Source organism: Homo sapiens, chromosome 9 (genome assembly GCF_000001405.40).
Source record: "Homo sapiens chromosome 9, GRCh38.p14 Primary Assembly".
NCBI lineage: Eukaryota > Metazoa > Chordata > Mammalia > Primates > Hominidae > Homo > Homo sapiens.
The window spans coordinates 79,351,593-79,365,496 of NC_000009.12; the positions used below are offsets into that span (position 1 = coordinate 79,351,593).

At 38.2% G+C, this 13,904-nt stretch overlaps 2 annotated features.

Annotated features, from left to right (window-relative positions):
- Positions 9,003-9,894: an enhancer, noted in NCBI's record as "OCT4-NANOG hESC enhancer chr9:81975510-81976401 (GRCh37/hg19 assembly coordinates)". NCBI's record gives its function as "activates a minimal SCP1, AML or CMV promoter by ChIP-STARR-seq in primed H9 embryonic stem cells {active_cell/tissue: H9 hESC(primed)}" and the evidence as "EXISTENCE:reporter gene assay evidence [ECO:0000049][PMID:30033119]".
- Positions 10,446-11,001: an enhancer, noted in NCBI's record as "OCT4-NANOG hESC enhancer chr9:81976953-81977508 (GRCh37/hg19 assembly coordinates)". NCBI's record gives its function as "activates a minimal SCP1, AML or CMV promoter by ChIP-STARR-seq in naive H9 embryonic stem cells {active_cell/tissue: H9 hESC(naive)}" and the evidence as "EXISTENCE:reporter gene assay evidence [ECO:0000049][PMID:30033119]".

The following is a 13,904-nucleotide window of genomic DNA, read 5'->3' on the forward strand; positions in this document are numbered from 1 at the left end:
TGGTATATATGTACCACAGTTTCTTTATCCAGTCTATCATTGATGGGCATTTGGGTTGGTTCCACATCTTTGTTATTCTGAATAGTGTTACAATGAACATTTATGTGAAGGTACTTTTAATGTTTCACTGTTTCGGTCCTAATAAGTAAGGATAATGGCCAGTGGTGATTGTAGGAATAGCAAAAATATGATAAATTTTAGAAAAACTTAGTAATATTGACAAGACTTTGTTCAATGTCAGAATAAAAGAGAGAGAGGAAAGTGAAAAGAGTTCATATTTCTTGCTTGGACACTTGAGTGGCATCAATAAAGACAGAACATAGGTAAAGAAAAGGTTGTGAAGGTAGGTACTTTGAGTCTGTGTTTTCTATGGGACATCCAAATACAAGAATCAAGCATATCTGTGGCTATAGGCATTTAAGGCTTGCAAAGCTGCAAATAAAAAATTGACAAGTTACCTACTTGAAACCATAAGTATGTAAACCAAGGGGCATGTAAGTTTAAAGGGTAGATTAAGGAAGAAATACCTGCAAAGGAGAAAGAAATGAAGTGCAGTTAATTCCCATTATTCTTCGTAGTCATGGTCTATAAAATCACACAAAAACTGAATTACAGAATACTGAACCATTGCTCTAGGCGAAGAACAGGATTAGGTTCCTGTGAACCTCTCTGCACAGCATTTTTATCAACCAATAAATGTATAACCTTGTTTTACGTGTGTTTCTGCTTAAAGGCACCTTATTTAATATATATTGATTCATTAGCATTGAATTCATGGCCAACAGCACTATAACTGGGGCTTGATTTAAAACATTTTCTTCATAAGTCATATCATGGCCTTCTTGTTCTTAGAACATGAGATAGCATTCAAGACTACCCTTGGGGCCCATTTTAAACAGTGACATTACCAACAAGAAGCAAAAGAATGCCAAAAATTTGGTTACTAAATTGAATGCAAAAGGACACCGATTTTCCAAAGGAGAATGTAAACAAGAAAACAGGTTACTACTGCCTTGTTCGACCTCAGCTGGGGACACGCACATTCAGCTCCTCAAATTTTTTACTGCTTTGCACATGCCCATGAAAGACTGCAAAAGTGCCACAGGTATGATTTTGGGGTTACAAGTGAATTTCAGTGAGTAAACAAATTTTCAAATATGAATTCTGCCAATAATGAGGATCAACTATAGCAACAAATGCTTCTAAGGAATTAGGAAAATGTCATGTCAATTAGGAGGGCATCGTGAACTTACCAGTTCTAAATCACATAAAGGGAAGAAGTCAGCTTCCAGTGGATTGATGAGCCAATGTGTAGTGAAGTGAAGGAGAAAGAATGTTTAAAGAATAACTCTAGAAAGTCTGGAGAGGAAGGGCTAGAAAACTGAAAGCTTCCTAAATATAAAAGGATGCATACTTTTTTTTCTCCAACCAGATTAATGCTACAATGCTTAAACTGAATCTAATATATGTGTTTTCCACCTAATTCGTGAAAGCAATCAAAAAGAGTAGGCATTTTAAAGGTTTAAAAAGCACCTGCTTGGAAACTATATATGCAGTTTTTGCAGTCAACTTTTTGTAAATAATTCAGTCTTTATGTAGGGCAAGCAGCCCAGAAAGGAAGAGTCCATTGGTGGCTAACAAAATGACTGTAAAAGGAAATAATAGTGTTTGACACATTTTCCTTTTTACAAATTCTGAGCCTCTTGCCCCAGTTGCAATCAATATTAGCTGACTCAGTAGAGGAACCTGGTTTCCAAATGAGTATTATTCTTTGGGATTCACAAAGTAATGTCTATGCAAACTTAATTGTACCATAGATGTTTCTAATGCTTAAAAAAATACAAATAAAAAAGCAAACCTTGAAGAGACTATGCCCTCTAAAACTTGCTATAATGCTAAGAAAAACTTTTTAAATTGAAAAATGGCATATCCTGAACTTGTTCCTTTAAGGGACCACTAAATATACCCTTTTACATATAAACAACTTAAGTAAAATGAAAGGAACAAAATTCCTCAATTTGCAGAATGGCTATTGAGTCAACAACCAAAGAGAATTTGCTACAAGAGAAGACAGATGTTTTCAACTTTAAAAAAATTACATAATATCTAAACATATTTCAGATGGGAAAAACAGTTTGTGAGAAAGGCCTCTGTGAAACAATTTCTACAGAATTATTTATATTTTCAATTATTTATAGTACATTGTTGGAATAAAAAACAGTGGAGTAGTGAGAATAAAAGGAGACATTTCATGGGGCACAGTGACTCACACCTGTAATCTCAGCACTCGGGAGGCTGAGGCAGAAGGATCACTGAAGCCCAGGAGTTTGAGATCAATCTGGGCAACATAGTGAGACCCTGTCTCCACAAAAAAATAAAAAAATTAGTCAGGGTGTGGTGGCATGTGCCTGTAATCCCAGCTACTTGGGAGACAGGTGGGAGGATTGCTTGTGCCAGGAACATCAAGACTGCAATGAGCTGTGATCTCACCACTGCATTTCAGCCTGAGCAACAGAGCAAGGTCTTGCCTCAAATAAATAAATAAATAAATAAGAAAGAGAGAGAGAGATTTAAGAAACTGAAAAAAAAAATTGACCAGGTAAGAATGGTTTGACAATTTAGGTCCAGATGAAGCAAAATACTTTTCAGCGTACAAAATGTTGACCCCTGAAGCTCTAGCTATAGTAAGTAAGTTAGTATGAGTCATTAGAATGGCTAGTGTGGAATTCCACTTTGAGCATGACTAAGTTCCCCCAAGCCTGACAACCAACTGCTCCCACCCCCAAATAAGAACTATAAACTCTGAACAAAATATGGAATCCAACTACCTAAAGGCACTGAAGAGTGAACAAGCAAGCAGCTTCTGAAAGAAGTTAACACTTGAAAGACTTGCAACTTTTTTTCTGGCCAAAAGAACTAGAGGACAGAGTTCAAAGCAACGACAGCCAATAGAAAGTGAGAGGTGTGCTAGAAAAGTGAGAGGTGTGAAGCTCCAAATTTTTTGTAAAACTCCTGCCCAAATCTTTGACTAAGTCTTTAACCATGTATGTGCGGAATGGACTCAAAGAGCCCAGGTAAGGATAAAATAACTGTACTGACATTTGAACTTTCTGCGAAACAGTGTTTACAGTGTGAGTTCAAACAAGTTAATAGTCTGATCAAACAAAAGTTCACTCTTAAGAGAAATAATGGAAACCAGAGAGTCTACAACCTAACCTTTTCAATGAACAAGATATGATATAAAAATTAATATACGAATAACCAGAAAAATACAAGCGGAAGTACAGTCAACAAAGATCAATCCAGATATGTTCCAGATGTTGGATTGACAGACTATGATTTTAAACAACACATCAACAAGTATTTTTAGTATGCTCAAGTATGTAACGAAAAATATGTTCATAATAAATGAAGAAATAGAAATCATTAGCAGAGAAATAGAAACTGTAAAAAAAAAAAAAAAAGTAAACTCTACAACTGAAAAAAAAATACCAAATCTGAAATTTAAAACATATTGAATGGGCTTAAAGCAGAATGGAGAGAGGGAAGAGTCAGGGAACTTAAAAATAGAACACAGGAAATTCAAATAAAATTATTCAATCTGAAAAAGAGAAAGAATGAGTAACTAGGGATGATAGAGACGGATTAGCTAAACACTAAACCTGTTTCCCCTTTCTCTTGGGCCTGATGCTGGACTCTATATCCCAGCCCCCATTGCTATTGCATGTAAATGTATGATGGACTGTTCTGGCTGATGGAGTATACATAGTAGTAAGGCTCACCATTTCCAGTTATGGACCATATAAACTTCCATAACTTCCTCCACACTCTCTCCTCAACAATCTGTCAGCTGAAGGCAGACATCTAGGATGATCGCAGAGCTTTGCACTGAGGATGGCTCAGCCTCCATTTCTGAAGGATGGATGGAGTGCAACCATCTCAAACCCAGCCACATCAGCGAGAGATGAGCTTCCATGGTGTTAAGTTCCTGAGATATTTGGGTTTACTTTTATCTGCAGATATTGTTGCCATCCTAAAACAGTAATTGTTGTTATTACTCTTTGTATCATTACCATAAAATAATTTCATACTTCGTGTTCAGCCTTTCTCCAGACCAGTCTCCATGTTAAAAATGAAACCACCTCTGAACCATTTGTTTCTGTGACTAATACTTAATGAGATGGATTGAAGGTTTATGTTCCCCCAAAATTCATATGTTGAAATTCTAACTCCTAAGGTGATAGTATTTGCAGGTGGAGCCTTTTGGAGGTGATTAGGTCATGAGCGCAGAGCCCTCCTCGTGAATGGGATCAGTATCCTTATAAAAGAAGCACCAGATGGCTAGGCGCAGTGGCTCATGCCTGTAAACCCAGCACTTTGGGAGGCTGAGGCGGGTGTATCACTTGATGTCAGGAGTTCAAGACCAGGCTGGACAACATGGCAAAATCCTGTCTCTACTAAAAATACAAAAATTAGCCAGGCATGGTGGTGCACACCTGTGATCCCAGCTACTTGGGTGGCTGAGGCATGAGAATTGCTTGAACCTGGGAGGCAGAGGTTGCAGTGAGCCGAGATCATGCCACTGCACTCCAGCCTGGGCAACAGAGAGAGACTTTGTCTCAAAATATAAATAATAATAAAATAAAAGAAGAACCAGAGATCTTTTATTCCCCACTTCCACCATATGAAGTGACAGTGAAAGGAAGGCCAACAATGAAACAGGAAGTAGGGCCTTTACTAGACACTAAGTCTTCTGGCGCTTTGATTTTGGTCTTCCCAGCCTCCAGTACTGTGAGAAGTCAATTCCTGTTGTTCATAAGCCCCCTAGTTTATGATATTTTATTATAGCAACCTAAACACACTAAGACATTTTCTTCCCAGACTAATCATAAATAATAATAGTCAACTTAAAAAATTGAATAGATCTTTACACTTTAAAAATTTCTTTGCCAAATCAACTCATCTGATATTAATAGTCCTTAGTATAAGTGTGGCAGCTGTTTGTTTTTCTGTTTTCTAGAATTAAAAAAAAAAAGGAAGCTAAAAAAGGGAAGAAAGAAAGAAAGAAGACAGGAAATAACAGAAACATTGAGAAAACCTTTACATTTTAGCTGGCTGAAGATGATGTTGTTTCTACATGAGGCAGACAGAACCCTCATATAGGTCTGCCTAGTAGCTGCTTAAGGATGACTTCGCCCAGTGAAACATTTCATCTCTTTTTCCATCTAAAAGTGAAATTCAAACTCCAAATTTATTATAGTCTCTCCTCTTTAGAAACTGCACATCCTATAGAAGACAGACTTTGTCAGTTTTCCTTTAAGCACCTGCCTTTACCATGTCAATAAACTAGTTTGAGAAGTCGAAGATTTTCATAGAGAAGGCCTGCAGGGCACCAAACATCTCGTTGGGATGATTTGTTGCCCGAATTGACAGATTTCCGATGCTCAGTTTGAACAGCACACAAGCTCAGTACCTTTTTGCTATAACCTTCTCAACATCTCCCATTGTCTCCTGAGCAAGTGCTCACAAGAGTGATCCTTACATTTTTAGATGTGTGAGAATTTTTCATCAACAATGAACCTTGTGGGTGTTAGTCTGGTTAAAACCTGTTCTTCATGCATTTCCTTGTCAAATTGTGAGGGGTTGGCAGAGAGGGGTTAGAAATGTTGTTTTATTGTTTTATTTCGTAGTAAGAAGAGGTATAACCTTGCTGAGAGGGTGACAAATTCAGTTATAGTCAACCAGCACTTGACAGGTTTTATCAGAAAACCAAACAAGGAAAGAGTGTGTATGCCTGCTACCAGCTGTCACAGTATTGAACAATGAATGTTTGATGAAGCCGACCCGCAAATACACACATCTTCGTGGAAGTCAGCTTTAAGTAGAAACTAGCTGGCAAAATTAACAAGAAAAGGCCTTGGTAGAGGATATCAAAAGTAAAGAAAACAAAACAAAACAAAAAAAGGTGGTGGGTCGGGTGTGGGGATCTGAAAATCTCCCTTCCTTTATTTGTTTAGGTGTGTATTGAGCGAGCCTCCATGCAACATAGAATTTGAAATGCAGTTTCAGTTTTGTTAAGATAAATACATGGTCTTCATCTCAGCCCATATTGAAAAGACAGTTTTGATAATTGTCAGATTTTCCAAATTAGTTGCGCTGTGAAAAGGGGAAGCTGGTCGGCTGGAAATGTGACTGTTCTGGTGTGCCTCTGAAGCAATTCCCGACTTCTTGCTGACGAGACAGGAAACAGAAGCAGCCAGTGCCACACAGATGAAGGCACTGGCCCACGTGCCCTACATTACACAGGTCAGCCTCAGATTGCTTATCCTCTAGCTAAAGATTCCTATCTCTTATCCCAAACTTTCCACTCCAAAGTCAAAATCAGTGGCATTTCTCACCTTTAAAGGAAGATGCCACATGATTATTTCAAGCTATACTACAAACCCAATTTGTCTCAAAAGCTTGTGAAAGTACAATAAGTACTCAATGTCGTTGATAGGTTCTTGAAAGCTGTAACTTGACGCCATATAATATACAGCAGATCCTCAAATAACATTGTTTCCTTCAAGGCCCTTTGTTGTAATGTTAATGAGGAAAAAAATTGGTTTTATTATACTTGGTTTCACTTAAAATTGCATTTTCCAAGAACCATTGACATTAGGTGAGGACTTACTGTGTTTTAAATTGAAGAAGATCAAGTACTATTAAAATGATATTTTCCCTCAACAAAAAAATGCTTTCTCTGTCTTCAACCACCTCTTCTCCAGAATTTCCTTTGTACATTTTTGATACCTGTTACCAAGCCCAAGAAGCAGTTTGATGTGAATTACTTTTCTACAATAAATTGTGAGTTTCCTGATGACAAGGATCTGATCTCACTTAACTTTGATTCTTCTCCAGTCCAACTCTAGCCATTGTTCATAGCAGGTCTCAACAAATGATGATGGAATAGACTCAACCCAGAAACATTTAAGAGACTCAATGGAACCAGACTGCGGCCATCACAGAGTCCTGCACCTCCTACATTATTACTCTATTGATATTCCTTTAGTTCCTCCTTGGCAAAACAGAAGAACAAATCTGCTAACTATCAAAGAAAGACATAAAAGATTATATCTCATGCTTATGTTCTTTCCAGCCTACTGAAGTAAGTAGAAAACTCAGGAAAGAAATTCTACATTCATATCACCAGATAGAGCCTTTAATAAAGTGCAATAGACCATAATTAAACTATCAACATAATAATTAATTTTCGCATGTGCATTTTTCTTGTGAGCTTTCATTCTGCTTGTACATTTTTTAGCTCATCTCATGATAACATCTAGTATTTCATGATGAATTGTGTTGTAAACATAAATTATGTGTCTATCTGAAAAAGCTACAGATATTATCTATTGGAGTTTTTCACTCCTTATCTCTGTCTCTCCAAATTTTCCCAATCTATATTGAATTAAATAATTTTGCAGATTTTTAAAAACCAGCTCTATTATTTATCTATTTCCAGCGTGGTGAATAAGGTTTAATCTTGGCAACAGAGATACAGAGATGAAAAATGTCTAGACAGATTCTCTAAGTACGAAATGTCTATAAAGCAAAGTTACCCTTCACCCTATATAGATGCGAGTTCTCCATATACACCTGAAAAGGTAAATATTGACTGGAATTTGATACTTTTCTGTTAAAAATATAAAGGAGGAGGAGCTTGGGGAAATTGAATACACCCCTATAAAGAAATGGTAAAACCAAAATTCCACAAAGAGAATAGTCTCTGGAGATCAGTGAAAAGAATCAGATGCAAGGATTTACCTTAATAATTGTTCATCTGTAAAGATGAAACTGTCAGTGGATCTCCTCTTTCACTTCGAGAATAGAAGAAAAGAGCTTCTAAGAAATCTAACATTTATCTTTAGTGTAACGACTGAGACAAGACTGCTTTAGATATCCTTATTACTAATATCGAAAGCAAACCTAGAGAAAATTCAGGAGCTCAGTACAACTCCAGACCTCCAGAAGAAGGAGGAGGGGAAGGAAAAACAGAAGGCAAAAGAGGAGGAGCAGGAGGAAGAAGAGGAGGAGTAGGAGAAGCAGCAAGAGGAGAAAGAATGGTTAGTAGTTAGGAAAAAACAGAATAAATGGCCAAATGTTATATTGGTTGTGGGGCTGTGTGTCCTTCAACATAGAAATACTTAAACCACTGTGAAAATGGAGGAAAACTAAATTTTAATCTCAACCTTCTACTCTGTTTCATGGGCATCTATAGCTATAATATAAATTCGCGACACATTTCTGTGAGCTAAGTATGACGTGCACACGTAGCAAAGCTCCTTAGAAATCTTCTCATTGAACCAGAGATTCAATTACACATGCAGTTCACTCCTACTCCAGAGCTTTGCTCTCAGTGAGGAAAATCTGGGATCTATATTCAGGGCAGTTAGAATGCATTTGAAACCAGTAGGGGGAACTGAGCTATAGAGAGGTAAAGTGAGTTTCTCAGAACTTGATAAAGAATCAGAAGCTGAGACAGCCAATTCATTTTTTTGTCAGGAAGTTGGCATTCATTTTAAAGAATTTATTGATTACATGCATAAGCTGTGCAAAGGGTATTTCATCAATGTATGTATAAAGCATATATATATACATATATATTCTACTTTTCTTCTTGAGCACTCAAAGAAGGTCATTGGGGAAATCTGTCTGATTTCTGCAGTGCATTGGCTGAGAAATAATTTAGGTGGACTTCTTGTCTGTACTCTGAGTATGTGTATGCATAAACATGGATATGCATATGCTACTTATAGCATATATAGATTTCATACAATTATGATAGAAAATATAACCTAAAGAGAGAGCTCATGATTGCCGTGATGAATAGGACAATTAAAATGGTTGCCATAAAAATTATTTGAACAGAAAAGACTAAACTTGTAGAGAAGCCCAAAGAACTGACTTGAAGTATTCATGGATGTTAACTGGTATTACATCCTGTGTGTTAAGAGAGAAAGTAGATCCCTTGGTGATAGATTTAAAAAGCACCCAGTATTTCCAAATGCCTCCTTCAAATGTCTCCTGACCAGGAATTCTATCACTGGGAATCTATCTTGTATAAGACTAGAAAGAAATAATAATTATTACTGATTGGTGAGAGAATGTGTGACTTTTATTTTTCTTTGTATACTTTTCTTAATGTTTCAGATTCCCTTTGCTGACTTAGCCATGATATGAAAGTATTTTAGGAATGTGGTTCTTGAGAAGAGTGTGCCAAATAACTCTGTGGACCTAGGAATTCCTGATACAATGATAAACACATAGTTGACATATAATAAATATGTGCGTTGAACAAAAATGTCTGTTTCTGCTGTCTGGGGCATTATCTCCAGGAGCTGTAAGATCAAACTACTTTAAAGTAAAGACTCATTTTCAGCAGTCCTCACACTTTGGTAGAGGACTGAGTTACCTTGTTCCCAAATCTATAGACAAGCATTTTATGTATTTGCACTTTAAAGGTGAGCAGGAGTCTGCAGGAGCTACCAGGGGATAACTACAATGACACCCCTGCTGAGACCATTATGTTGTTCACCTTATACAAATAGCCAGGAAAGATGAGAAGAGTGATACCCAGCCATATTCCCACTAAGTCACGGGGTTCAATATCTATGTATTAGGGACCCCATGGCCGGAAGGGGATGGTACAGGCATTTCTTTCTTTCTTTTCTTTTCTTTTCTTTTTTTTTTTTTTTTTTTTTTTTGAGACGGAATCTCACTCTGTCACCAGGCTGGAGTGCATGGCATGATCTCAGCTCCCTGAAACCTCCACCTCCCAGGTTCAAAAGATTTTCCTGCCTCAGCCTCCTGATTGCAGGCACCCACCGCTACACCAGCTAGTTTTTTGTATTTTTAGTAGAGACGGGGTTTCACCATGTTGGCCAGGCTGGTCTCGAACTCCTGACCTCGTAATTCACCTGCTTCGGCCTCCCAAAATCCTGGGATTACAGGCAGGAACCACCATACCCAGTCTGGTACAGGCATTTCCAGTGGGTAGCTTTCAGACCCCTCACCTCACTTCAATTACAGCCATTCAGTTTTCAGCAGTTAAATACATTGATATATTACACAATATTTCACTGAAAGGATTCTACTGATGACAAAAAAAGAAAGAAAGGAGGAAAGAAAGAAAGAAAGAAACAAAGAAAGAAAGAAGTAGGGAAGGAGGGAGGGAGAGAGGGAAGGAAAGAAGGAGGGAAGGAAGGAAGGAGAAACAGAGAGAAAAAAGAAAGAAAGAACGAAGAAAGGAAAGGAAAGAAAGAAAGAAAGACAGACAGACAGAAAGAAAGAAAGAAAGAAAGAAAGAAAGAAAGAAAGAAAGAAAGAAAGAAAGAAAGAAAAAGAAAGAAGGAAAGAAAGAAAGAAAAGAAAGAAAGAAAGATTTTGTTGATTTCTGGTTCTGGAAAAATATTCCATTCCCAAATGCAAATCATTCAAAAGGCCAAGGAATAGAAAGGGCAGTCTACTTTGTGAACTGATAAGAGAAAATCTCTGCTCCATTATGCAAGTCTTGAGGAAAGAATGGTTTATAAATATTGCTTTTTCAGTCCATCAGGGCGCCAGGACCCTGTGTTGCCAAGAGACACCTCCAGTGCTGAAATGAAATAAGAATACCCATGTTTACATTAACATCCCCGACTGAGTCACTGTTTGATTAGGACAAAGGAGAGGGGAGAGTCCTGCCCAGAGTCCTGACTGAGGAGAAGGCGTACCACTGGGAGAAGCTGCACATCAGAGGTAAAGAGTAAAGCAAGCATTTTACTTCCCAAAATCCCCTTTCTTCACTTTGCTCCACCCCACAGTTCCAGGGCCCCCGCTAAAGCCTCCTACTGTGATCTGATACGAAGCCAGAGACAGGTAAACCTTCCTGGCAAGTACAAATATGTCTGAGGAAGCAGCGCCAAGCAATGAAAACAGCCTAGGTTTTGGAGCCTAACAAGGATGAGGCTGGAAGAAAGGAGTTTATGTTCACAGGAAAAGGAAGAATTTCCATTTGCCATGAATTTTGCCACATATTAACTTCATCTGCCACGGATTTAATTACTTTTAACGAGAGAGAACAAAAGTGAACGTGCTGTAGCAGAAAGCCTCAAAGGACAAGAGGATGGTGTTTTTACCTGCCAGCTCAATCCCTGTCCTTTTTAGAAAAAAAGATCTGAGGAGGTATCTGCAAACAGAAGTATTGTGTTGTCAATGACCTAAGGCAGATACTCTTAACACAGCCCCAACATGTAACAGACTCATGGATGAGTTCCAATTGGTTTGGCAGCAGGGTGGTGACTGTGTGGAGTGATGTTCCTAATAAGAGTAAAAGCACCAAAATTGACACATAGTTAATTTTCTTTGTTATAAATTAGACAAAATTCAAAGTCATTCCTATAGTAATATCAATCTTCCTCATCAACATCACAGCTTTCTGGAGTGAGACTGAAATGGGTGGTCATACAAGTGACCAGGAAGTCACTGAAAAGGGCACCACTGGTCATACAAAAACCTTTGTGGGAAGCTATTTGAAATATAGTAAATATAGTGCTAGCAAGTTTTGACTTACGTCTCTGAACTTGCTATCGAAATCTTGATATGAGAGCGTGTTGAAAAGAGCTGAGAACCTATGATCAACACGGAACTGTATTTCCTTCAATTTTATCACATCAATTCCTGAACTGAATGGCTAAAATCATTCTTGAGGGGATTTTTTTAACGGATTAAGAAGCTGGCTGGGTGCGGCAGTTCAGATATATAATCTCAGCACTTTGGGAGGCCCAGTCAGGAGGATCACTTAAGGCCAAGAGATTAGGACTAGCCTGGGCAAGACTTACAGAAAATTTTTAAAATTAGCCAGGCATGGTAGCACACCTGCAGTCCTAGGCAGGAGGATTGCTTGAGCCCAGAAGTTTTAGGTTACGGTGATCTATGGTCTCGCCACTGCATTCCACCCTGGGTGACAGAGCAAGACCCTGTCTCTTAAAAAAAAATATATATATATATATATATATATACTGTAAAGCACTCAGAACTGTGCCTGATGCATTATGCATTAGTTGTTGTGTGCTTGCAGCCACTGCTGTGTCTTTAGTAAGATTAAGCCCCAAATTTGGAAGATGTGATAAGACATGTTTTATTTTGAAGTTTGCTGTGATGTGATGTGAAAGGAATACGTTAGAACTCTCTAATCTCTGTTTTAAAAGCACTGAAAAGTAATAAACCAGAATAAGGAGGAAATTATCAATGAATAGACTGCCCATGTATCTGTTCTCGAAATTAGTCTGCCACTTATCTGGCCTTTCCTCCATTCTGACTTTCTTCTTTCTTCTCCTCAGATCACTTCCAGTTTCCTTCTTCCTACTCTTTCTTCTGAATTTACTTCTACAAACGTTTGGTGGCGGCTTTCGATATGCCAGAAATTGTGCTAACCAAGCTCCAAGAGTTAAATATTATACTTCTTCTCAAGCTTTATTCTACCACCCTCATTTTTAAACCCTGTTCTTTTGCATTTTGTCATTCGGCTGCAGCATTCACTTCTCTTCTTTCATCTCTTGTCCTCTCTTTTCACAGTCACCCATAAAACTCGCAGCCAATTCCCACATTTATTTAAGACTTGGACACATCTTCCCCTCTATCTCCAACATCTGCGAATATTCAGTGTGTCTTCAGTTTCCCCATGGACAACCCACTTAACAACCTGGCCTCTCAATTCTTTCCTGACCTCCTCAGTTTCAATGAGCTTCATCTTCACCCCACCCACCCTCACTTCAGTCATGGACTTCCATGATCACTCTTTGTGCCTTATCAAGACTGCTCTACAAGAGAAAGAACAATTTCAAATATCCTATCTCCAATCACCATTTCCTATCCTCCCAGCCCTCTCATTCATTTACCATGGATATTCAGACTTTATGTAGATTTGAAGTCATTGGACCCTTCGTCTTTCCCCATCGCCGCTCCTGTCTGCATGCCAATCTCTCTCCAGCCCAACCCCTATATCTACTGTCTCCTTGTCCCTATTCCAAATAGTCCAAATTTCCCTGAACTTCAAGTCCACACAATACATCTGAAAGCAAAAAAATCTAACCCTGAATCGTCAAAAGCATTTTCTTGGGATGCAAGATAGGGTACTAACCTCTGCTAGTGTCAATTAAACAAGCACAAAGATTAGTCCTACAGTAGATTTGTAGTCTCTAATCTGAAATTAGTATTCATGTGTGCCCGGGAATCCTTCCCTGCCTTCCAGTGGGTCAGTATTCCATTTTCCAAAGCGTCCATCTAAATCTTTTCCATTCTTCTTAAATTCTCACCACCTCTTTACTTTCTCACAGGATGTTGCCTCCTGCTTGATTAAAGAGAATAAAAACTCTCCAGTGAGAATTCACTCAGCTTCCTGTCACCCTCCATCCACGGAATTCCCACACCTGTTCTCAGTTTTCCTCTTAACCTCTTAGGCATGTCTCTCCTCCTTTCTAACTTTCCCATCTGTGCTCTGGATCCCAAGCATTCTTTCTAAGGATGCTTGCTCCATCCATTGCATCCTACTGCACAGTGGCATAGCAGTTAAGCACAAGGGCTCCAGGAGGAGACTGTCTACATCCACATCCCAGCTCTGACCTTTACTATTAATGTGATCTTGGGCACATGAATTGGAATATATCTATTCCTCAATTTTCCCACCTTTAAAAGAGAGAAGATGGCAACAGTCTCTATCTCAGAGTTGACTTGTGCAGATTAAGTAAATTAATGTGTATTAAATATTGAGAAGAGTATCTGACAATCTATGTTAGTTCCCATTATTACTTGAGTCTTTGAAACAGTTGCCTGCAGTCAAATATTTTTTATTGTAAAAAAAGATATCTACGAAATAATTTTGA